The sequence below is a fragment of the Homo sapiens genome, chromosome 1 (assembly GCF_000001405.40).
Source record: "Homo sapiens chromosome 1, GRCh38.p14 Primary Assembly".
In the NCBI taxonomy this organism is placed as follows: Eukaryota; Metazoa; Chordata; class Mammalia; order Primates; family Hominidae; genus Homo; species Homo sapiens.
In genome coordinates, this window is record NC_000001.11 from 15,103,634 (window position 1) to 15,127,591 (window position 23,958).

The window sequence follows — 23,958 nt, forward strand, 5'->3', positions numbered from 1 at the left end:
CTCAGGCCCAGCAAGAATTACCTGCCTCCTGTTATTCAGGAGGAGGGAACTGCTTACCTTCCAAATAGGAGCCCCATGTCATGATGCTTTGCTCACATGGGGTAGAGAGGCTGAGCCAGCCCCACTCTCCTAAGCAAGTGTGGGGTTGAGATTCATTTAACAAATATTGATGATTTCCTGCTAGGGTCAGGGACCATCTCAGTAACAGGAGGTCCCTGACCTCGTGGCTCTAAAAAATTGGGGAGGGGTTCCTCTTCACCGTCAAATTAACTGGTCCCCAGGGGGTCAAGCCCTTGCTGTTGGGGACAGAGCCCCACGTGGAACTGGGGCCCCCTTAGGCCAGCAGCATGGCCCCTGCAGGCTAACAAGTCCCCTGCCTTTGCCCCCAGGAGTACGCAGACAACCTGACCAACAGCGGCGTCCATGGTGCTGTGCTGGTGCTGGAGCCCACATTCAATGCCGAGGCCATGGCCACTGCCCTGGGCATCCCCAGTGGGAAGCACATCCTCCGGAGACACCTGGCAGAGGAGATGAGCGCCGTCTTCCACCCAGCCAAGTGAGCACGGGCTGGGATCCAGTCATGTGGGCTGCTGGGTACAGTACAGCTCAGGGCTTTGGAAGCAGATGGTCCAGCTCCCCATCCTGGCCCATCACTTACTGCCTCCCACTCGTTCTTTGCACCATGGTGGTCACCTTTTACAGATCAGGAAACTAAGGCTCAGAGAAGCAAAGTGCTTTAGCCTGAAGGTCATAGACTAGAAAGACGTAGAGGAGCAGTCAGGTCTTGAATTAAGTGTATATTAGATCAAAAAACACCCAGGTGTTTAGAGAAGAGATAGCAAGCAGTGCATGTGTAAGGAAAGGCCACGTGCAGGTGGAGTGTAGCTGGGAGGACTTGCATTGGCCTAATAGGTTGAGTTGGTTGGTCCAGGTGGGGCAACTGTGGGGACAAAGGCTTGGAGTCAGGAATGAGCATATTAATGATGCTTATGGACCAGGTAAGCAGACCACATCAGCCCACCTATCCTAGTATCCCCATCTGAAAAGTGACCAGAGAATGAACACCTGGGCATAAACCAGTCCCCCTCCCAGTGGATTCTCTTCTTAAAATCATGCACTTAGGGTTAGATGACCATTTATTGAATACTTCCTGTGTGAACTATCTAATTTCATCCTCCTGGCAATGTCAAGAGATCAGTAGCACTATCCCTCCTTTATAGATGGAGAAACTTCTTCAAAGGTACCAAGCTATGTGCCCAAGATACACAGCTAGTAAGTGGCAAATCCTAGATTTGTCCTTTATTCTATCAATATGGTGTATTATATTGATTGATTGAATTTCATATGTCAAACCAACCTTGCATTCCCAGGATAAATCTCACTTGGTCACAGTGTATAATCCTTTTTATATATTGCTGGATTAAATTTGTTAGTACTTTGTTGAAAAAATCTGCATCTATATTTATAAGGGATATTGGTCTATAGTTTTCCCTCCTTGTGATGTTTTTGTCTGATTTTGGTATCAGGGTAATATAGCCCTCATAGCATGAATTGGGAAGTATTCTCTCCTCTTCTGGGTTTTGGAAAAGCTTGGAAGGATTGGTGTTTGTTATTCTTTAGACATTTGGTAGAATTCACCAGCGAAGCCATCTGGTCTTAGGCTTTTCTTTCTGGGAAGCTTTTTGACTTCTAATTCAATCTCTTCACTTGTTAGAGGTCTGTTCAGATTTTCTATTTCTTCTTGAGGCAGTTTCAGTAGCTTATATCTTTCTAGGAATTTGTCCATTTCATCTAGGTTAGCTAATCTGGTGGCATGCAGTTGATCATATAATTTTTATCTTATAGTGCCTCTTATATATAAAGTTGGTAGTCATATTCTCTCACTCATTCACTTACTCCTGGTTTTAGTGATCTGAGTTTGAGTTTTGTTTTTTTTTTTAATCAGCCTATCTAAAGGTTTGTTGGTTTTGTTGACAGAGCCCAGATTTGACCTTGGGGCTCTCTAACTCAGGCCTGAGTCCTAAACCCCTAAACCACATGGATCCTTAGGGAGCAGCTGGGCCACTCCCCATGTTATACAGGTGGGGAAACTGAGGCTTAAGGAAAAATTGTGCATGTATGGCAGGGTCCAGGTGTCCTGGGCTGCTCTTCCCTATTGGAGGCTGACACCCAAGCTGTTCTCAAAGTGAGGCCCACCCCACAGACCCTTGCAGCAGAATCATTGAAGCTATTGTAAAATGCAGATTCCCTGGTCCTGCCTCAGACTTGCAGGACAAGTATCTGCTGGCAGAGCACAGGACTCTACATTTTTAGCATTTTGGGGTGCTTCTTACAGAGACAATGTTTGATAAGAACTCTGTTTTAGGCCAGGCATGGTGGCTCATGCCTGCAATCTCAGCACTTTAGGAGGCGGAGGCAGGAGGATTGCTTGAGTCCAGGAGTTCAAGATCAGCCTGGGCAACATAGCGTGACCTTTTCTCTACTAAAAATTAAAAAAATTCCCTGGAGGTGGTGGAGTGCACCATATAATCCCAGCTACTCAGGAGGCTGAGGCTGGGGATTACTTGAGCCCGGGAGTGTGAGGCTGCAGTGAGCTATGATTATGCCACTGTACTCCAGCCTGGGTAACAGAGCAAGGGTCCATCTCTACAAAACAGAAAAACAAAACAAAACCCTCCTCCAGGAGCCATGAATCAAAAGACACAGGAAAAAGCCTTTTCTCCTCAGAATTATCCCCTTTCCCTGACTTCCCTTCTGGAGCCACATGATCTGTAACAAACTTTTTTCTGAGCCCTGGAGAGATGGCTCTAGCTGAATATTAGCAGGCATTTGTGTATCTGATTAAACTCTTGACCACTCATGAGGTGACAGGTGTGTTCAGGACTAAGACTAGTCAGGGAGCACCAGAGAAGGGACTGGTGGGGACAAATAGGGTGGGTTCTTATGTTGTGGTGGGGCAGGGACTTCTTCAAGAATGAGACGAAATCAATGAACCTCTCAATGATAAGATAAGAGGGAAATGACTCTGTCCAGGCTCCACATTCACCAAGAGCTTATGGGTCCCAATATGACGTCATCTCTAGTCTCTTCCCACAACTTTGACAATGCACATGACCCAAAGGCGCCAAGGAGAAGTCTCTGCCATGGTCTCATGGTATCTGCTTTGACACACACTGACTTCCTGCATCTCCCGATAAACCTTGGTCCGGCGCCAACAATGTGTCAGTCATAGGACTGTTCTTTAAGGACCTGGAGAATAAAACCAGTGGGCAGGAAGGATGCAGCAAGGAGCAGAGGTACCCAAAGGCAGCTGCCAGGGGATCGGAGGAGTCAAAACAAACAAAAAAAATATGCCTTGAAGGCAATATGGCCTGTCACTAAAACAGAGTCAGGGACAGGACACACAAAGGAGCAGGACTGGAACCAGAGCAGGACTGGAACCCAGGTCTCTACTCCTAGTCAGAAGCTCTTTCTGGAACTGATCTCTCTCCCCTGGGATCTAAGCTAGAATAGTGCCCCTTTTGCCATAAAAGCCACCCTCCACAGTCATTGAACACCTGCTGTGAGCAGGCACTTGGGTGATCCATGTCCTGCCTTCACGAAGCTTACAGAGATGGGAGAAGACCTCATAGGTGGATGGTGTGGAGTTCCAGCCCAGGGCCTGCTTCCACTCCAGGTTTTCTCTCTTTCCCTTTTTTAATAGATCTCTGAGGGTCTCTGCTCATCCAAGAAAGGCTTTGGCTCCCATCCAGGCAAGAAACTGGTTTCATAGACAACTAGGTGAAGACATAAACCCATCCAGAATGCCTTGTGGCACTCTAGCCCCAGGCAACCCAAGTTCAAATCCCAGCAGCACCAATCCTGGCTGTGTGACCCTGGGCAAGTTACTTAACCTCTCTGAACTGTACTTTCCTCATTTGTAAAATGAGTATGGTAATCACTATCTGCCACCCAAAGAGTTGATGGCAAGATGAGATAAGACAATGCATAAAGCAATTGGCAAAGGAACCAGTACATCATAAGACACCCAATAATATAAATATTAGTGATTTATTCCAAACCCACCCCTAGCCCCACCACCGCTGCCTCCCATTCCTCCTCTGCAGGGCAATGGCTGCAATGTGGTTTCGAGCCCCAGCATCACTGCTTTCTTGCTGTGTTGAACATGAGCTAGTGGTTTTAGGTTTTACTCTCTGAGCCTCAGTTTCTTCCTCTGTAATAGGGGAATATGACTCATACCGACCTTGTAGCTTTGTTCCAAAGGTTCAGTGAGGCAAATTGTATGCAGCCTGCTTGATACATAGATGCCCGGCAGTAACTGAGAGCTTCTGCCCCTGCCTTCATCTGGAGGCAGAAGAATCTCCATGCAGTCAATTTCCTCTGGAGTAGCTGCATAGGAGTCCCCTTCTGTCAGTTTGCTCCAGCGTTCTCATTAGCATTTCAATGGAGAAGAACAATTCCATTACAAACTCAAATAGACTTGACCCTCAAACACATAGAATGAGAGAACCTTGTCACCTGTCCCACCTCCTCGGCTGACAGGCTTCCCAAGACATTGGCAATGGAAAACATTTATTCTCTGGTCACTCAGCAGGCCGCTGGAATGGGGGTGGAAGGACACATTGAGCTTAGATGAGATTCTGTCCCACCCCACCCTCAAACCATCCCTGAAATGTGAGCCCAAACTCCAGGCACTGGGTCAGCTGAGTGCCCAGAGGCGTGGGCCTGTGTGCAATGGGACCCAGCGGGGCCTTTGAGGCCACATTCTGGCTCCTCCGCCATCATCGTGTGATTTTAGACAAGAAATTTACCCTCTCTGAGCCACGGTTTTTTCAGCTTGCAATGGGGATGATCACTCCTTCTTCCCAGGGCTTTGCAGAGGGTTTGCTGAGCCACCGTGGTGAGGAGCTGACAGTGTGCCCAGCACGTAGTGGGTGGCCCTCGAGTACTCTTTCCTTCCCATTCATTTTCTCCAGCACAGCATCTTGTGCCTCTCTGCCCTTGTAAATCCTTGGTTAATGGGTTGAGACTCAATGCTCGGGCTGGCCCACCTGGTGGAGGCTGACTCCCAACCCCCAACCTTCCTTCCTGCACCATGATGCCTATTTAGTGCCCAGGGTTCTCTACATTGACTCAGGAGAGTCCAGTGAGATGCCCCATTCTCCATAACGTTCCCTCATCAAAAGTTCCCCTTCTAACGTACCATTTCCTCGAGGTCTAAGTGACTAGAAATACTTAATAGGTCGGTTCAAAGCTTCCAAAGACCTTGGCCCTGTGCTTGGCTTATGCCCTGGAGTTTTCGTGTTTTCATCTTATCCAAAGGCCTAGATGGGGGGATTTCAGCCACTGTGGAAAAAATAAGGAGGGAGGATATTTTGGCACACTGGAGGCCAAGGTCACCCCGTATTCCTTTGTCTACAGAAAGACAACCACTTTCTGTGCATAGGGTAGCTTGTTAAGACCAGGGCTGGCCAGGCACGGTGGCTCACACTTGTAATCACACCACTTTGGGAGGTCGAGGCCGGTAGATCACTTGAGCCCAGGAGCTGGAGACTAGCCTGGGCAACATGGCAAAACCCGGTCTCTACCAAAAATACGAAAATTAGCTGGGTGTGGTGGCGTGCACCTGTAGTCCCAACTGCTTGTGAGGCTGAGGTGGGAGGATCACCTGAGCCCAGTAAGCCAAGATTGCACCACTGCACTCCAGCCTGGGCAACAGAGCGAGACCCTCGCTCAGAGGAAAAAAAAGATCAGGGCTGCTTACTGGACTTTATCGTACAGATGAGGAAACTGAGGCCCAGTAAGGTGTTTTACTCGCACCAGAACATATGGAGGGAATAGCTGAGCAGGAACTCCAACCACGTCTGTGTCCCCAAAGCCTTTGGCCACAGTAAGATGTAATTGTAGCAATTACTCTTTCTATTGTTACTCAGAGCTTAATGTTTATGTGTGTGTATATGTATGGGTATGTATGGGTATGTGTGTGTGTGTGTATATATGTGTATGTGTGTTTGTATGTTTGTGTATGTGTTTATATGTGTGTATATGGGTGTATGTGTATGTTTGTGTATGAGCGTGTTTGTGTGTATATATCTGTGTGTATGTGTGTTTGTGTTTGTATGTTTGTGTCTGTATGTCTGTGTATATATGTGTTTGTGTGTATGTGTATGTGTGTGTTGTATGTGTATGTATGTGTATGTGGTGTTTGTGTATGTTTATGTGCGTGTATATATGTGTGTATGTGCATGTGTGTGCTTGTGTGTATATGTGTTTGTGTATGTTTGTGTATGGGTGTGTGTGTGTGTGTGTTTGTGTATGTGTTTGTATATGTGTGTTTGTATGTTTGTATGTTTATGTGGGTATATGTGTGTTGTGTATGTATGTGTAGATGGTGTTTGTGTATGTGTGTATATATATATGTGCGTGTGTGTGCCTGTGTGTGTATGTGTGTATATGTATGTGTGTATGTGCGTATTTGTGTGTGTATTTGTGTATGTGTCTGTGTATTTGTGTATGTGTGTGCATATGTGTTTGTGTGTGTATATGTGTGTTGTGTATGTGTGTATGTTTAGGTGGTGTTTGTGTGTGTTTGTGTATGTGTATATATGTATATGTGTATGTGCACTTGTGTGTGTATATGTGTGTATGTTTGTGTGTGTGTATATGTATGTGTGTATTTGTGTATTTGTGTGTGGGCATATTGTATATGTGTGTATGTTTGTGTGTATGTGTGTATATGTAGTGTGTATTTGTGTGTTTGTGTGTGTCTGTGTATTTGTGTGTGCGCATATGTGTTCATGTGTATTTGTGTATGTGTGTATTTGTGTGTGTTTGTATGTTTGTGTATTTGTGTGTGTATGTATGTGTGTGTATTTGTGTGTTTGTGTGTATGTGTTTGTGTGTGTGCATATGTGTTTGTGTGTGTGTGTGTGTGTATCCTCTCATTTAGTCCTCACAATGACCTGCCGAGGAAGTTCTGTTATTAACCCCACTCTGCTCAGCACGCGGCCCAGGCCATGCCAACGCTAAGGCACTGAGCCAGGCTGCTGACGTGGAGCCCACACGTGCGACCACTGTCCTACCCTAAATCCCAAAGTGGGAAGGCCGTGGTCTAGACCTTGATCCCAGAGGCCCAAGTTCAATTTCCATCCCTGCCACTGGGTGTCTTGTGTATCTTTGGACAAGACACACCCCCTCTTTGGTCTTCTGTCTCTTCAGTGAAAATAAGAGATGGGACCCTGAGGCTCTCCCAGGCTTATTTGACTGCTAGTGTTCCAAGAGCTGGGGGATCCAGCACCCCTCTGTGCCAGAGAGCAAACAGCCAGCTACCTGAGTTTACATTTTTTGGCTTCTGCAATTACAGCTGCTTCCCCACTGGACCTGGGGAATTTCGCCTCCAGGTGGAGCAGAGGGGCCATTCATGAGGGCATTTCCTGACCCACCACTGAGCAAGGCCCTCCCTGTTATGTGGAAGCCTGTGGAACCCAAGAGTTTGAGAACGTAGCTCATTTGCCATTCAATCAGTGCTGTCTCCTACACACCACTCCCCTCCCTTGAACTTTCTCAGCAAAATTTGCCCCAGAAGAAGAACTTCTCTGAGGCAGCTTAAAAGATGCTAGAAGGTTCTGTTGTTGTTGTTTGTTGTTGTTGTTGTTGTTGTTGTTTTAAACAGAGTCTTGTGCTGGAGTGCAGTGGTACGATCTCGGCTCACTGCAACCTCCACCTCCCAGGTTCAAGTGATTCTCCTGAGGTTCAATCTTAGCCTCCGAGTAACTGGGATTACAGGTGTGCACCACCATGCCCAGCTAATTCTTTTTGTAATTTTAGTAGAGATGGGTTTTGCCATGTTGGTCAGGCTGGTCTCGAACTCCTGGCCTCAAGTGATCCACACGCCTTGGCCTCCCACAGTGCTGGGATTACAGGCATGAGCCACCATGCCCGGCCTAGAAGTTTCATTTCTTTCAATGAGTCTACCTCCGTGGTGACTTCTGGCTCCAGGCCGGGCCTCTTGCCCCAAATCTGTTTATCCACAGCATTGATATGCAGACTTTTTCTGTATAAGGCCAGATAGTGAATATGTTACGATCTGGGAGCCATATGATCTCTGTCAAAAGTCTACAACTCTGTCCTTATAGCAACAAGACAGCAGCCATAGACAACACATAAGCAAATGGGCACTGCTGAGTTCCAATAAAACTTTATTTATAAAATCAGTCGGCCAGCTGGATTTGACCTGCAGGCAGGCTGTAGTTGGCCAAATCCTAACAGAAGCTTCCATGCTTTTGCACAAAGAAGGGAGTCATGGGGGCAGCTTCAGGCAGAAAGCCAGGTGGGGGACACAGATTGCAAATTCAGAGCAGGGGAGACTCCTCATGCTTCTCCAAGCACAACTAATTAGCTACCATGCTGAGATTCTCATCTGGAGTCTGTTGCAGTAAGGTTCACAGTACACTGAAGAGTTAAGATCAAGACTTTGGAGTGTCAGAAGCCTGAGTTCAGATCTTGATTCTGCCGCTAACAGCTGTGTCGTCTTGGGCAAATTGCTTGCTGTCTCTGGCCTCCTTTCCCTGTAATGCTGGGCTGGCAGTCCCAAGCCCCAGGCATGTTGTGAGAATCACGCTTATAAAGTGCTGAGCACAAGGATGGCACGTGGGAGGTAATCAGTCGGTCTCAGCAGCTGTGGTCATTGTCACCAATGTGTGTGTGTGTGTGTGTGTGTGTGTGTGTGTGTGTGTGTGTGTCTGGGGAGCTGACTGAGCCTCCCCTGCTGACTCAAAATGGTCCTCTCTTCAGCTCCACAGGCATCCGGGAGGCTGAGCGTTTTGGAACGCCCCCTGGCAGGGCCTCCAGCGTCACGCGGGCAGGAAAGGAGGAGAACAGCAGCGGTCTCAAGTACAAGGCTGGCCGGGTAAGTCTCTCAATGGATTTACCTGTGAGTCCTGCAGACCCGGGAAAGGTCTTTTTTTCTCCTCCCGGGAGCTCTGTGGCTCCTGTGCTGGCCTGTGAAGGTGGAGTGCCAGGCCGGGTCACGGGGGCATCCAGGACAGATGCCCTGGATGTACCTTCAAGGAACCTTCACGATGCTTTGGGTACAGTGCACAAAGCCCCCGCAGGGCTTCGAGTAGCACCTGGATCTCAAAGTGCAGGTCTCACCTGCCTGCATGAGAATCACCTGGGGCTATTACTGAACTTGCAGATTCTGGGACCCACCTTGGTCTCCTGGAAAAGGAGTTCTCTGGGGCGAGGGGGATCCTGCATTCAGCTAGGCTGCCCAGAGGGTTCCGGCGCAGCCCCAAACTCTGAGCCCCAATCACTGATTTCAATTTGCGACTTCAGTGACCTGACCAATAGCAAAGATGAACCCTCTGGTGACTCCAACCAAACAGTATGAAAACATGTGCAGTTCAGGTCTGATTGCACAGACTCCAACTGACACAGATTCCTCAATGGAAATGCACAGACAGAGACGGCAGAACTGGGTAATCCAAAATGTCTTCCATTTGAAGAAGGCATGATCCCCATTCATTCATAAACATGAATACATTGCCACTTTACCCTTAAGAAGCTCCATTCTAGAACGTGCATTCTAGTAATTGGGGCTGATATTGCCCCCCAAAGGAGTGAAAATTTGTTTTGGCGCTGGTGGGGGGTGGGGGCGGTGGCAAAAATTCTTATTCTTTCTATGTAAAAGCACAAATGTACATATGGTACGGAAGCAGAGGCGTAGTATGTCTGTGGCATTACAATTTCACAGCAGGGGTGCAATTAGGAAAAAACTGTCTAAAAAGTCTCCTTAGGGAGCAATAATAATAATAAAAAAAGAAGATCTGGAAACACTGGTCTGGAAAGAAAGGCAGTCAAATAAATAGTTACAAAGCACTAATGTGACTACTTTAACACAGAGATGTGTGCAGTAAGAGAGAAGTATTTTTGAAGGCCTACTATGTGTGATAATAATAGTCACTATTCATCAAGTACATCAAGGACTTACTCGGTGCAAGCACTTGCTATGTGCTTTGCAGATGGGACTTGACTTTTTTTTTTTTGAGACAGGGTCTCTGTCAGGCTGGAGTGCAGTTGCACGATCTCAGCTCACTGCAACCTCTGATTCCTGGGTTCAAGTGATTCTCATGCCTCGGCCTCCTGAGTAGCAGGGACTACAGGAGCTCGCCACCACGCCCGGCTAATTTTTGTATTTTTAGGAGAGGCGGGGTTTCACCATGTTGGCCAGACTGGTGGGACTTTACTTTTTACAACAAACCTGGGAGTTAGAAACTACTATTCCCATTTTGTAGCTGAGAAAAATGGGCTCAGAGAGGGGAAGTGACTTGTCCAAGGTCACACAGCTGGGAAGTGGCAGAGCAGGGATCTGAACCTGGGTCTGTGAGTCTCCAAAACTCGCATTCTTTCTGCCACACCAGGCCGTCTAGAATATTCCTCCTTGACTTGGGAGTGCAGTCAGACCTCATGGGCCTGCTCAGACATTCTCACAGGTAGTCTCCAGGACACACTTCCTCAACTCTCCACCCACCAAGGAGGGAAGAAGGAGGCTTTTGTGAATCAGGAATAATCAGACTAACGATATTTGTCCTCACCCTTGGTAACCAACTGAATCCTTCCGGGGGCAGGGGGACACAAAGCTCTCCCCTAATGGTCATTCACAAACTCCCCTCAACCTCCCTGAGCAGGGAGTATTATTACTAATAGGAGGAGCACACAGAGGTTAAGTAAGTTACTCAATCACAGAGCAATTAGAATTGGAGACATTTCCCAGACCTTCATTCTTAATTCTTGTTTCTCTTCTTCCTGTCCTTTGATCATATTCTTCTCTTCTCAGCTGCCCCTGGGGAAGATAGGAAGGGGCTTCAGCAGCAAAGATCCCGATTTCCATGATGACTATGGCTCTCTTCAAAACGAAGATTGCGGAGACGATGACCCCCAGAGCAGGCTGGAACAGTGCCGTCTGGAAGGCTACAACAGCCTGGAGGTCACCAACGTGTAAGGAACTGGTGGCTCCACCAGACCCAACGTGAGAGACCCAGGAAGGAAGAGAAGCCAGATGGCCCCAGGTGTCGTTCTCACTGTACATAGCGGCCGCAGGCTGAGGATGTCCCTTGCTCCTGGGCAAAATCCCGATGGACTCTGCGGTTTCAGCTCCACAGCGCCCAGGAGAGAGAAGACACCAGCCCACCTGTCTTGGGTGGGCCATGGACTTTCCTGTTCAGCTGGAGATGGGCCCAGAGGACCTGTCACAGTGTCCGGCCCTGCCTCCATCCAGGATACACAGGCTCCACCTCAGAGTGACCGTCACTGTGGAGCAGCCAAGCAGTCCCTGGAGCCTTAAACGGAGCTGCCAAGGTGGGAGGAGGCCCACAGTTCCCTAAAACACCCTTCCGGCGGGAGCAGGGGGGACCCCAACCCCACACCCCAGCGCCCAGTGCATTGGCAGAGCCGGGTGCAGGAAGTGCTGCCTCTTGCCGAGACGTCGGACAGGGCGGGGGTTGGGGAACTCTCGGCTACAGCATCTTACCCTTGACTGAGAACTTGGGTCCTGACTTGGCTCACTGAATCTCTCTTGGGAGAATGCAAAATCCTTCCACCTGAAAAGCTCTGTGACACATGGGGGTGGACGTATTGAAGAGCTGTTTGCCGATCCACCCAGGAGTGGCTACGCTGAGTGGGGAGCCGGTGAATGATCCGTGCAGGAGTGGGGCTTAGCAGCCACATTTCTAGGAGATGCAGATATCCTATCACCAGAATGAAAGCTATTGGGACAACAGGATCGGGGATGACCGACGGCCCCATATGGTGAATCTCTGGCCTGTGGTTTGGCTTTACTGAGATTCCAAACCCCACTATCTGCACTCCGTGACAGTGGTATGGAGTGTGGCAATGAGTTTGGGGTCTGGGGCAGGGAAATGCTTGACATTGTTAACCCAACAAACCTTTGTTGTGATGTCCCTGTCACCTGAAACATAGGTGACATAGCTCACCAATGTCCTAACCGAGACACAAACTCCACAGAGCAAAATCATTTGGTATTGGTGGGGAGAACCCCAGCCCTTTTCTTGACCTGCCACTGTTATGCTGTGTGGCTTCTTCCCAGTGGCCTCACCTCTCTGTGCCTCGATGTCTTCATCTACGATACTTCTGGTTCCCTCCCAGGGACATCGTGAGGATTAACACTTGCTAATATCTGTAACACAATTTGTAACCTCTCAGGAGACAATGGGAAGTTATGGGGTAGCTAATTTCCCATTTACAACACAGAAATGATATAGAGCTAGTTCGCTCCAACTCTTTAGGTTGAAGCAGTGTGCAAAAGGAAGAAAAGAAATGTTTAATGTTCAGACCTGCCAAGAGCCTCCAACAGGGCTCAAGAAACATATAAATCCCATGAGCACAGCCTTGAAAACCAGTTTGACTCAAGCCTTCGGGCCTCAGTTCATTGACCAGATGACAGCCACGTGATGATTAGGGAAGGACGGATGCATTGCGATTCTGCTTACACATCGGGTTATCAAAGCGAGTCACTTGTTGGAACCATGATGCTCGACCTCCTTCAAGGCCGTTTGCACTGGGGCTTGAGTTTCCAAGATTCACAACAGGTGTCAGCCTCTGAGAACCCTCAAAGCGTGTGTTCTTCAACCTGGCAAATTGTTTCCTCTCATGGGGGAAGCCGAGCTCTGATGAACTTGAGAATTACACCTCTCTCATGCCGAAGACCGTGGTGTTCCCCCTAATGACATAAACGCAGCCTTTCTTGCTGTCTGAGACCAAATGTCTAGTTGGTAGACAGGTGGATGTTTGGCCTCCTAAGGGCACACTTCTGATCCTGGGCCCCAGGTGGTGAATCTCTGGCATGTGGCTTGGCTTTGTTGAGACTCCAAATTCCATTATCTTCATGACATTCGGCCTCATCCATAGGGTCCTGAAGCTGCAGTCCACAGCTCAGAAAGGAGAGGTGAGACCTCCCTCCAACCTGGTGCCACAGGTCTCTCCCAAGCCACATCCAGCCTGGATGACCTGGGACCCCAGAAACTGCCGTTTGGGAGGCAGCAACAGCAACGTGCCCAGGCAGGCAGTTATTCCCACAGAGTGAGCCAGAATTGTAGCAGGGCACTTGAATGCAGAGCTGATGATTTGAAACCAACGTTCACCCAACTTGTCAGAAATGGCACTTACATGGTTCGATCTTGCTGGAGACAAGTGGACAATTGGGGGTCACTGGCAGAGACAGTATTGCCCAAAATGTTCACAGCAGGAGGCCAGCAGGCCTGAGGCAACACGGGCAACCGCGAATGCCTCTTTTGGTTTAAATTATGCCATCACAACCCTCTTTCACCCATGAGGCTCCCCATCCCTGACAGCCAGGTGAGCATTTGGAGCTGGTTTCTCAACATGAGGATGGGTTGGTTGTTAAATTAACAACCTCCACAGTATCAGATTGAGTGAGCTTTGTCTGCTGGAAAAACCTGAAACGTCAACTCTGCTTCAAGGTCGGCAAGAAGAACAGAAGGCGGAGACTTGGCAGAGAGACTCAAGCTGATTGTCACAGGCTACAGAGGGGCCAGCTCCAGAACAGTGACCAGCTACATCCTGTCCAAGCAGCCCGAGTGTGGTCTTGGTCCCTGCAGGGCAATGTGGGCATCTGGACCTGGGGACGATGTGGATGCACTTCTTGGAAAGCTGTTGTAGCTTGTGCCTGTGGGTGGAGAAGGCACCTGCCTGGTAGACTCTCAGCTTTCTGACCCCCAGGAGCCTCTGCGAGGCCCCTTTGTCCTTGGCTGAGCCGGACCTTTCTTTTGGAAATCTGTCTGTCTGTTGGCATCGCTGTTTTCAGACCCCAGGCTGCAGAGGAGGGGAGAAGCCACACAACAATCTGGACCCAATAAAGTGGAGAGAAGGGCGTCTCTACACAGCCCGGCCAGCGTGGAGGGCCCCAGGACAGGGACCCAAAAGCTTGACGTCACTGAACAGGGCTGGGTACTGGCAGAACAGGAAGATTTGGCCAGAGGTGACCTCAGTGTTCCCTCCAGGGGCATCCAGGCCCCTCTGACCTGGGGAGAAGAAGGCCCATGCTCAGGCCCACCTCCCTCTTCCCATCAGAGCCCATGCGTCCTGGGCACCACCACTTCCACTCTGCTTTTCGAGGCTCCGGAGGGCTCTTCCTGCTGTGAAAGGAAAGGAGAAGAAAGCCTGTGGGCAATGGCAACCTCTGAGTCTGGCATTCTTGCCAATGGCTGGCCAGCGAGGAGAATCTCCCGAGCCCTGACACACAAAGGCATTTTGTGGCTGCAGAGGAAATGGGTTGGCTCTGAACAAAGATGCAGTTTCTAGGGCCGTGGCCCCAAATCGCTTCCCCGAGAGTGAATTTTAACACTGTAACAATAAATACTACTGCACAGCACTTTATGGCAGAGGGGGCTTTTTTCTGTGTTTTCTCATTTAGTGTTCCCAGCAGCCTCTTTGTGAGATTTTGAACCCATTTCACAGATGGAGAAGCTGAGATCAGAAAGGTGGAGGGCCTTGCCCAGCTCTGTAAAGCTAAGACATCCCAGGGCAGGGACTCAAACCCAGTCCATCTGCCTCCAAATCCCAGGATCATCCTCACAATTACACACTCTCCCAACCCTCACCCCCCTGCAATGTTGGCAAACCCCCCTCCCCCCACCTCCCAGCATAGGATTTACCTTAGCAGGCAGCATCACTCAAAATGCAATTCAGGTGCACTCGGAGTGTCTGGAAAAGTCCCTGTGGGGGCATTGCCTTCTGCCCTGGGAACTTGCAGTCAGGAGTGGACACCTGACAAGTCCCCTCCCCTTGTGTCATTTGTGTCACTCCGTCACTCCTCCTGGGGGCACTTACATCTTCAGATTACCGGACTGGATTTCTAGTGGTGGGACGCCCCAGCACAGTGCCCTTCAGACCGCCCCATGGCCTCGGATCACCTGGTGGGGAGGTATTTTGGGAGTGCAGGTGCAGATGCGGGAATTCTGGAGTCCCACCTGAGATCAGCATTTCCAACAAGCTTCCAGGTGCTGCTGCCGGTCCAGGGATCTCACATCGAGTTCCAAGGTCATGGCGCACAGATGGGCCTTCCTAGCAAAGCCCTAACCACACAAGGTGGGGGCTGGTCTGTGGGCTCCACCCAGGTATCCAAACAGCCCTGATGGAGCCCCACCTACCAAACCAGGCTGTGTGCTTCTCATGGGGCAGGAACCCAGCTGGACGCGCTGCCCATTGCTCATGTCGGCAGGGGCTGAGCACTCTGGAAGTGTGTATTAAATGGGGAGGAGACAAGAAAAGTTAGAAGACGCTGAAAGATAGACTGGGGATGGCCAGTTTCTCTAGGCTGACCACAGATACTGTATTGTTCAATCCACCTGGGAGCCAGGGCTGGTCCTTGGTGGTGGGGATCCAGTGGCAGAACTTACACAGGTCATGAAAGGAGGTAAGAAACACACCAGTGGCCAGGGTGATTGATTTCAGATAGTGACAAGTGTGATCGGGACTTCAAGTAGAGTGCGGGGGATCCTTGAGGATTTTTGAGCTGAGACCTAAATTCTGAGGAGCCAGCCCTGCAAAGATCTGGGGGAAGACCATCCCAGGCAGGCAGGCAGTCCCTGAGCTAGATGCTGGGACGTAATGGTGAAAAAATCCTGCCCAACCACTACCCTCTTGGTGGGAAAGACAGACATGAATTAAATACTCCGCCAAGTGTCACTGTGGTCTGTCTTTTTTTTTTTTCTTTTTTTTTTTGAGATGAAGTCTTGCTCTGTCACCCAAGCTGGAGTGCAGTGGCAGGATCATAGCTCACTGCAGCCTCAATCTGCTGGGCTCGAGCAATCCTCCCACCTCAGCCTCCCGAGTGGCTGGGACTACGGTCATGTCACCACACCTGATTAATTTTTTTTTTGTAGAGCTTTCACTATGTTGCCAGGCTGATCTTGAACTCCTGAGCTCAAGCAATCCCCCTCAACATTGGCCTCCCAGAGTGCTGGGGTTACAGGTGTGAGCCACCACACCCAGCCAACTGTAGTAAGTCTTGACAGCAGAGGTAGCTGGTAGTCAGAGGGCTTTTCATATCTTTTCACATGGGGGATTTAATGTAGAAAAGAGAAGGTGAGGCCTGGGTGGAGGGGAGTTCAGCAGGTGGAGAGGATTCTAGACAGGATGAACAGTGTGCAAAGGTCCTGTGGCAGGAGGGGCAGAGCCCCACGGCTACAAAGGACCCCCTGAGGCTGGAGTGCTGGGGGTGAGGGTACCATCTCCTGAGGGTAAAGAAGGGGCACCAGGCAGATCCTCTGCTGGGCCTCTGCCCCCTCCCAGGACCCTCGACCTGGCTCCCGTACATCTGTGTCATCCCAGATGCAATTAGTGCTTCCTAAGTGCTACACCTGGACATGAGGCCCCGCCTTCTGCAAATGGTTCGCTCTTTCCCTTTGCTCTGGCTCATGGCTAAATCAGATTTATCAGGCTACAGCCCAATGCAAGGGACCCATGAGGTGGCACTAGGGTAGCCAGGGCACAACTGATTGGCTGCCAACTAAGGTGTCAGGTAGAATCTGCCCAAGATGCCTGTTTTCAGCCATGTTGGTTGCAAGTTGTGCCGCTGATTCCCAGTGGCAGGGAATGAAGCTGGAGAGGAGCTTCATCAAACCGGTGGGAAATGCCCAGCTCCCCTCAATTCACTTGAACCAAGCAGGGCTTCTTTCTGTGGTTGATCTCCGGCACCCCAGGCAGCCCTGGCATTGAGGGGAGTCAAGAAAGGAAGACCCGGCCCCCAAGGAAGGGTAGAGCCTCGTGTGGGATGGAGGTGAGGGGCTGGGTCTCCCTTAGTCTTTCTAAGCCTCACAGTGCACCCCCCAGGAGGAGAGGGCTGAGTCCTCCTAATAATTGGCAGCTAAGATTCTATGCATATGTTTGTTCCAACCACTTACCGTATGCTGAGGCTTTGCACAAGTATCTCTTTTAATCCTAAAACCATCTGGAGGGGTTCATGCTATCACTATTTTCCTGATGAGAGTCGGTGAGTGAAGGAGCTCTCCCAAGTGTTCACTGCTAATAGAGCCAGAATTTGAACTTTGGCTGCATTAACCCTATTCTGCCGGGCCCCATCCCCTCCAGCTGCCTCTCGGATGAGGACTTACATCCCAGAAGGGCTCCTCAGCAGAGCGCAGATGGATCAGTTCATCTCAGTGTTTGACTAATCGCCCTTGAGGAGTCTTACGCAGTCCCACCCCATCTCTGCAACATCTCTCTGGACCACGAGAGATCTCCGCTGAATTCCAGAGGCTATAATCTGGGTCTCCTCTGAGACATTCCACATTCTCACCTTTGCATTACGGTAATTTGTGGGAGGTCTATAGGGACTGTGACTGCTCCTGGACCACATTTCCCAGTGTCCAGCACACTCTTGTTGTCTGTTAAGCAAACGAACAGATAAATATATAAAAATTCACAGAGCAACAGCTGCCCATGGAAGATGCTACCCTGCTGTGCCGGCCAATATGGCAGCCACAGGCAACACGTATTTACTCAAATTATGAATTAAAATTAAATTAGAATTTAAAACTCCATTCCTCAGTCACACTAGCCACATTTCAGGTGTTCTATAGCTACATGTGGCTAGTGGGTGGCTGCTGTACCAGACAGAACAGATACAGAACATCCTCTTTGTCACAGAAAGTTCCACTGAACAGTGCTGCCTCATAGCATCCAGAGGGGATTGAGTTTATTATACAAGCCCTGCCCTCAAGAAACTTCCAATCTGGCTAATGAGGAAAAAAAAAATAAGGCTGCAGGAAAACATAAATAGAAAAACAAAAGACCGTAGGGCAGGTAGAATTTCTACATGAGCCAGTGATATAGTTCGAATATTTGTCCCTGCCCAAATCTCATGTAGAATTGTAATCCCCATTGTTGGAGGTGAGGTCTGGTGGGAAGTGATTGGATCATGGAGGCCAATTTCTTTTTCTTTTTCTTTTTTTTTTTTTTTTTTTGAGACGGAGTCTCGCTCTGTTGCCCAGACTGGAGTGCAGTGGCATGATCTCGGCTCACTGCAAGCTCCGCATGGAGGCCGATTTCTAATGAGTGGTTTAGCACCATCCTCTTGGTGCTAGCCTTGTGACAGTGAGTGAGTTCTCACGAGATCTGGTTGTTGTAAATGCTGGCATCTTCTTCCTACTTTCTCCTTCTTGCTCCTGCTTTTACCATGTAATGCACAATACATGGTAAAAGCAGGAGCAAGAGAGAGAAAGTAGGAAGAAGGTATCTTCTTTTGCCTTCCACCATGATTGGAAGCTTCTTGAGGCCTCCCTAGAAGGGGATGCTGGCACCATGCTTCCTGTATAGCCTGCAGAACCATGAGCCAATTAGACTTCTTTTCTTATAAGTTACCCAGTGTCAGGGATTTCTTTATAGCAATGCAAGAATGGCCTAATACAGCCAGTGACCAGTGACTGAAACCCCACTCAAAGAATGGTTTGCAAATACAGTAAATGGGAATGAAGCGGCATACGTAAAGAACACTCAAGGTCAACAGCTGGCTTTGGACACAGCTGGCGCCAGGGTGTCCGATGTTGCTTTCAAGACACTCAGCCTTCTTCACCTCTTGGGTTTGCTATCGTTTATACCAGTTAATTCTCAGACAGATTGTCCCCATTTGTTGGCAAAATGGTCACAAGACAAACACTGTCTCAGCCAGCAACCCCTGCACAAGAGAGACCCTCTTGCCAGGCGGTTCTAGCAAAGTCTCAGGGTGGAATCCCATTGGCTTGGATAGGATTGCAAACTCACCAAGGGTGGAGGCAGCCCACCCAGGCTTATGGCCTGAGGACACAATGCATGCACGGATTTTCCGCTCTTAAGAGGTGAGAGAACAGCAGCCCAAGAGCACCCTGCGGCTCTTAGGACGTGCGAAGCCAGTGGATCCTCTAAAGTGGCCCGGCAGGGGCCTCCTCTTTCCCAACACAGGCTTCCTCTCCCCTGCAGGTGGGGCTGGGCAGGCAGACTCCAGGGGAGAGGAGCCCCCTGATATTCAGACAGGAGAAAAAACTTAAGACCAAGCACCCAGCAGCTCACATAAGTGCCAGAAAGAGAACTGAGAATTCAGGGACATCCAACCTTGAGCTGAGGACTGATAAGCACCAATACTGATTGGACCATCACACTGTCTTTTACGCCAGCATTTCTCAGTGAGCACTACTGACATTCTGGGCCAGTTTTTGTTTTGTTTTGTTTTAATTTTTGTAGAGACAGGATCTCTCTTTGTTGCCCAGATTGGTCTCGAACTCCTGCGCTCAGGCAATCCTCCCACCTTGGCCTCCCAAAGTGCTGGGATTACAGGCATGAGCCACCGCACCAAGCCCAGATCATTCTTATAGGATGTTTAGCAGTATCCCTGGCCTCTACTCACTAGATGCCAGTAACAACATCTGTCTACCTAGTCAGAACAACTCAAAATTTCTCCAGACATTGCCAAATGTCCCTGGGGGAACAAAATCATCCCTGATTGAGAATCACAGCTGTATGTGTTTTTGCTCATTTAGTCTCCACAACAATCTCGGGTAAGCATTGTTTTCCCCATTGGTCAGATGGGAAACTGAGGCACGGAGTGTTCCATAGATTTCCCAGTGTCCCACCTTAGTGAGTGGCAGCTAGGACCTCAGCCTCAGCAGACTGGCTCTCTGTGGAGTCTGGGCTCGAACCCACTGGGCCATTACAGCCTTGGCCCTAAAGCTGGCTGGTCACACCCAGCTGTTTACAGTAAAATTTCCTGAAGCCAGATGTCCCCAAGGCGAAAAAGACCTCCTCATTATTAAGTACTGCACGGTTGGAAGCTGGATCCACCCCCTCTGCCTGGAAGAATATTGCTCTGTAAATTATAGGCTTAAAGGGTAAAGACAGCCCCATCAGCCCCGTGAGCTCCTGACTTAAAACAAGGTAATAATTTAGGGACTTAGAAAGGTCTGGTTCGGTGAGTACTTATAATAGCTAATCTTGCACCACACCTGCATCATCACCACCTTTTTTAAATTTTTAAATTTTATTTATTTTTATTTATTTATTTTCTTGAGACAGAGTCTTGTTCTGGCGCCCAGGCTGGAGTGCAGTGGTGCAATCTCGGCTCACTGCAACCTCCGCCTCCCAGGTTCAAGCAATTCTCCAGTCTCAGCCTTCCAAGTAGCTGTGACTACAAACACGCGACACCACGCCCGGCTAGTTTTTGTATTTTTAGTAGAGACGGGGTTTCACCATATTGATCAGGCTCGTCTTGAACTCCTGACCTCAGGTGATCTACCCACCTCAGCCTCCCAAAGTGCTGGGATTACAGGCCATCATTTTTTAAAAATAGACAATAGGAAACAACCAGGACATTTTGGAAACTTGCCCACGTCCAAATTGGGCAAGTGATTCAGGCCCGGCCACTAATACAGCACATTAGCGGCGGTGCCTGGCAGCAGCTGGGTGTGCCAGCCTTCCTCCCCTTCTAACCAAGGTTGGAGCTGAAAGACCTGGTGGGGCTGACTGTCTGTCACCCAGGCTCTGCCACATACACCAGGCTGTGTGACGTGGGGCCAACTCCTTACCCTGTCTGAGCCTCGGTAGAGTCGGAGCGGATGTTCTCTGAGGTCTTTTCCCGGCTCTGAAGTGGTAGGTTGGGTGAGGAATGGAGGTGTGGGCTGGGTGGACAAACCAGGAGGGGTCCCTGTTCTTCCATGTCCCACCTCAAGTCCTAGATAAGGAAGAAAAAGAATGGACACCCTCCTATCACCATGACGCCACATGGCCGTCGACAGCCACCACCACTCCACACACTCACAGGGACCCGCCTGCCTGCGCCCCAGGCGCGGCCCGGGACCTCCCAGTGGGGGTCCGCCTCGAGCCTTGTGGTTTGGATTTCATGGGAAATTCCTGGGTGGGAACCAATCAGGATGGAGAGGGGAAAGCATCTCTGCTGAGACCTCCCGATTGATTGGCTGGCCTCAGGGAACTGCTCCGCCCCCACTCCGTGAAGTTCTTGGAGGTGGGGGTGCTGCTGATCTTAGTGCCCTTAGGATCCTGCTGCCCCCACCTCACCCCCAACCCCGCCTTCAGGGAAGTCTCAGGATCCTGGCTGGACCAATCCAGCCCTGCAGCCCTGGCCCATGATGAAAGGCCCGGGAGTAGACTCCAAACCTGAGAGGTGAAAATCAGAACCCTTTCCGACAGGGCTCAGAATTGCAGGTGGCGGTGAGCTGCCGCTTTTTTTTGGATCTTAAGCTGTACGACGAGTCCCAGAGCTGCAGGCTGCCCCATCCCACCCACAAGGAGATGCCTAGAGAACGGGGCCCAGCCAGAGTCGGATGCCTAGATGCGGGAGGGGGGCAAGGACAACTGATCTATTCTCAGATCCAGTCGTCTCCAAGGCCACGTCCACCCCTGCTTTCTGAGGTTTGGTTGTGATGCACTAAGCACCACCACCCTACCATTCCCATTTCTCTGTGTCTTAGTTTGCTAGGGCTGCCATAATCAAGAGCCACAGGCCACGGTGCTTGCACAACAGACATGGACCCGCCTATGGTCCTGGAGGCTGGAAATCCAACCTCAGGGTGCCAGCAGGGTTGGCTTCTTCTGAGGCCCCTCTCCTTGGCTTGCAAACGGCCATATTCTCCTTGTGGTCCATCCACGGTTGCCTCTCTATGTATGTGTGTGCCCAAATCGCCTCTTCTTATAAGGCAGTAGTCATGTTGGATTAGGGCCCACCCATCTGACCTCATTTGAACTTAATTACCTCTTTAAAGATCTGATCTCCAAATACACCCTTAGGTACTCCACATCTGAATTTTGAGGATATGCAATTCAGCACGTAAGAGTCTCACACACTACCCCCATCACCAGCTAAAGACAACTAGAATTGGATTCCACATGCTTGACTGGAGAAGATTCCCAGGTAAATGACCTACTGTCCACTGGCCTTGACACTGAGGTGACTCCCACCCTTTCTCCCAGCAACTACATACCACACACATGCACACACACAACTCTCGCCTGCATTTTAAGGACTCTATCTGCATTACACAGAACAACTTGGAAGCATGAAAGAATCCTAAATTCTTCTGTTTTTTTAATTGACCCAGTCTTGCTGCTAGAGATGAGTAACAAGTGCCCCCATTTTTCCCGGAAAAAGACAAGGAGTTACTATTATTCTTTATTATTTTCTCTTCTTTTCTCCATTTCTCCCTGTTCTTCACTTCCTACTTAGCTCTTTAGAAATGCAGTTATAGCCTTTTACCTCCTCTTCCCCACACACTCCTTACAGGGCAAGTTCACCTAATCATGTGCTTAGAAGCTCCAAAGCAAAACTCTCACCCACCAGGAGGTTTCCTCGATAGATAACAGTTGATTGATGACCCAAAGTATGCCCATGAAGATGCCAACTCGAGTCCCAGTAAATAAGCCATCAAGGTAGCATGTGAAACCCCCCTGCTCACTTCCACCCCTGTGTAGGCCCCTTTTAAAAACACTCCCCTTCTGCTCCAAAGGCAAGGTGGAACCCTTAAGGCAGGAAGCCTGTACTTCTTTCCCTATGTTAGCTTTGGAATAAAAAGTCACTTTCTTTATACCAGACCTAGCTTGTTAATTAGACTCTGCAAGTGGCGAGGAACTGAATCTGCATTTTGGTTACAATGTCGTCCCCTTGAGCCTGTGAGAGTTGCAGAGTCAGAAGCCAGGCTGCTTTTGTGGGCAAGTTATGGCTCTGTGTCTCCTCACTGCCATGCCACCATCTGGACACCCCAGGACCATCGCCCCTCTTTTGGTTTCTTCACAGGGTTTCCACATGGCTCTTTTCTGGCCAGGTTCCTCTCCAGGACAACTCCGGTTCTAGCTCAGGATAGAGATCAACCCAGCGCCAAGAGGATGGAGCCAACACCACCCTGACAGCACAGAGCCCTGGTACACTTGCTGCAAGATGCTCTTCCAGGAGCCTCTCAGAGATAGATGGGCATGCAACTGGCATCCCCAAACAACTGGAGCAAGTCTTATCAAAGTTGCTTCCATCATTTATTCACTCAACAAACACTTGCTGGGTGTGTGTGCCTTATGCCAGCACTATGTGAAATAGATCTACTGACAAAACAGTCTCTGGCCTGAAATAATGCACACATACATATATATCATGTCAGCAGGTGCTGTGAAGAAAAGAAACACAAAGCAAGAGTGAAAGACTCCAGGAGACACGTGTTAGGTGGGCAGGTTCATTTGGTTTTGTGGTCACTTAACCCAACAAACTCCAGCATCGAGGTCACCAGAGGCTTCAGACTGGCTTGTTAAAAACGGCAACTTTGCCGACACCCTCTTGGTGACACAAGAGTGAAGGCCCTGGGGTGGAGTCCTCACTCACAGGAAAGCCAGTCCATGTCACTGACATCAGTCTCCAAACCCAAGCAGAAAGTTCCTCTATGGCTGGGTTCCCCAAGACCACCCTGACTATTCCAACCACATCCACAACCAGCTCTACTATTATTGGCATAATAGCTGCCTATTTTAAATCGGGCCAGACCTGACATCACTGCCTGTGTCTGTGTAACCACAGGCCTAAGACGCTGGCTCTGTTTTCTAATACATAGATGTGGGTACGGATATGTGTGCCTCTATGTGCCAAGTATGCACATAAATATACAAATAAATATTCCTGCAAATGCTCACCTGCATGTCCCCCAAATCAGGTCACACTCCATGAGGGACATAAGTGCCACAGTTGGGAACCACTGCTTTATGGCACCCAACAGATTCCTCATGCAGCATCGGCCTGCAGTCTCCTGTGGCTGTGAGCTCACTGTACCATGAGTCTGCCTGTGCCCTTCTTAGTTCCAGTTGCTCATGGGGACTTTCTATCACTCTGCCTCCTGGTCCCTCTTCCACGTTGACCCTCTGTTATTTGTTTTGTTTTGGGGAGACAGAGTCTTGCTC

The 23,958-nt window shown here is 49.5% G+C and overlaps 1 protein-coding gene and 1 long non-coding RNA gene across 10 annotated transcripts in view, besides 4 other annotated features; one reads left to right on the plus strand and one right to left on the minus strand.

Moving 5' to 3' along the window:
- The window catches only part of KAZN (kazrin, periplakin interacting protein), a 1,225,220-nt gene extending 1,210,810 nt beyond the window's left edge, over positions 1 to 14,410 (plus strand). For 7 of the 9 annotated variants that reach the window (XM_011541074.4, XM_047415845.1, XM_047415858.1 and 4 more), the window contains 2 exons: positions 390 to 556; positions 8,794 to 14,410. In XM_011541074.4, the coding sequence (XP_011539376.1) occupies positions 390 to 556; positions 8,794 to 9,391 (765 nt within the window). In that variant the 3' untranslated portion in view covers positions 9,392 to 14,410. The remainder of the gene's footprint in view (positions 1 to 389; positions 557 to 8,793) is intronic. The other 2 variants (XM_005245795.6, NM_201628.3) reach the window with 1 other exon arrangement.
- The window catches only part of TMEM51-AS1 (TMEM51 antisense RNA 1), a 40,650-nt gene continuing 24,873 nt past the window's right edge, over positions 8,182 to 23,958 (minus strand). Inside the window, exons 2-5 of the long non-coding RNA NR_027136.1 lie at positions 20,595 to 20,740; positions 17,339 to 17,426; positions 14,694 to 15,271; positions 8,182 to 14,174 (exon numbers count right to left, since the gene is read on the minus strand). This is a non-coding gene — a long non-coding RNA (TMEM51 antisense RNA 1). The remainder of the gene's footprint in view (positions 14,175 to 14,693; positions 15,272 to 17,338; positions 17,427 to 20,594; positions 20,741 to 23,958) is intronic.
- Positions 8,231 to 8,810: an enhancer, noted in NCBI's record as "H3K4me1 hESC enhancer chr1:15438360-15438939 (GRCh37/hg19 assembly coordinates)". NCBI's record gives its function as "activates a minimal SCP1, AML or CMV promoter by ChIP-STARR-seq in naive H9 embryonic stem cells {active_cell/tissue: H9 hESC(naive)}" and the evidence as "EXISTENCE:reporter gene assay evidence [ECO:0000049][PMID:30033119]".
- Positions 8,801 to 8,940: an enhancer, noted in NCBI's record as "active region_231". NCBI's record gives its function as "activates an Ori minimal core promoter by ATAC-STARR-seq in GM12878 lymphoblastoid cells {active_cell/tissue: GM12878}" and the evidence as "EXISTENCE:reporter gene assay evidence [ECO:0000049][PMID:35858748]".
- Positions 8,801 to 9,389: a biological region, named in NCBI's record as "H3K4me1 hESC enhancer GRCh37_chr1:15438940-15439518".
- Positions 8,811 to 9,389: an enhancer, noted in NCBI's record as "H3K4me1 hESC enhancer chr1:15438940-15439518 (GRCh37/hg19 assembly coordinates)". NCBI's record gives its function as "activates a minimal SCP1, AML or CMV promoter by ChIP-STARR-seq in naive H9 embryonic stem cells {active_cell/tissue: H9 hESC(naive)}" and the evidence as "EXISTENCE:reporter gene assay evidence [ECO:0000049][PMID:30033119]".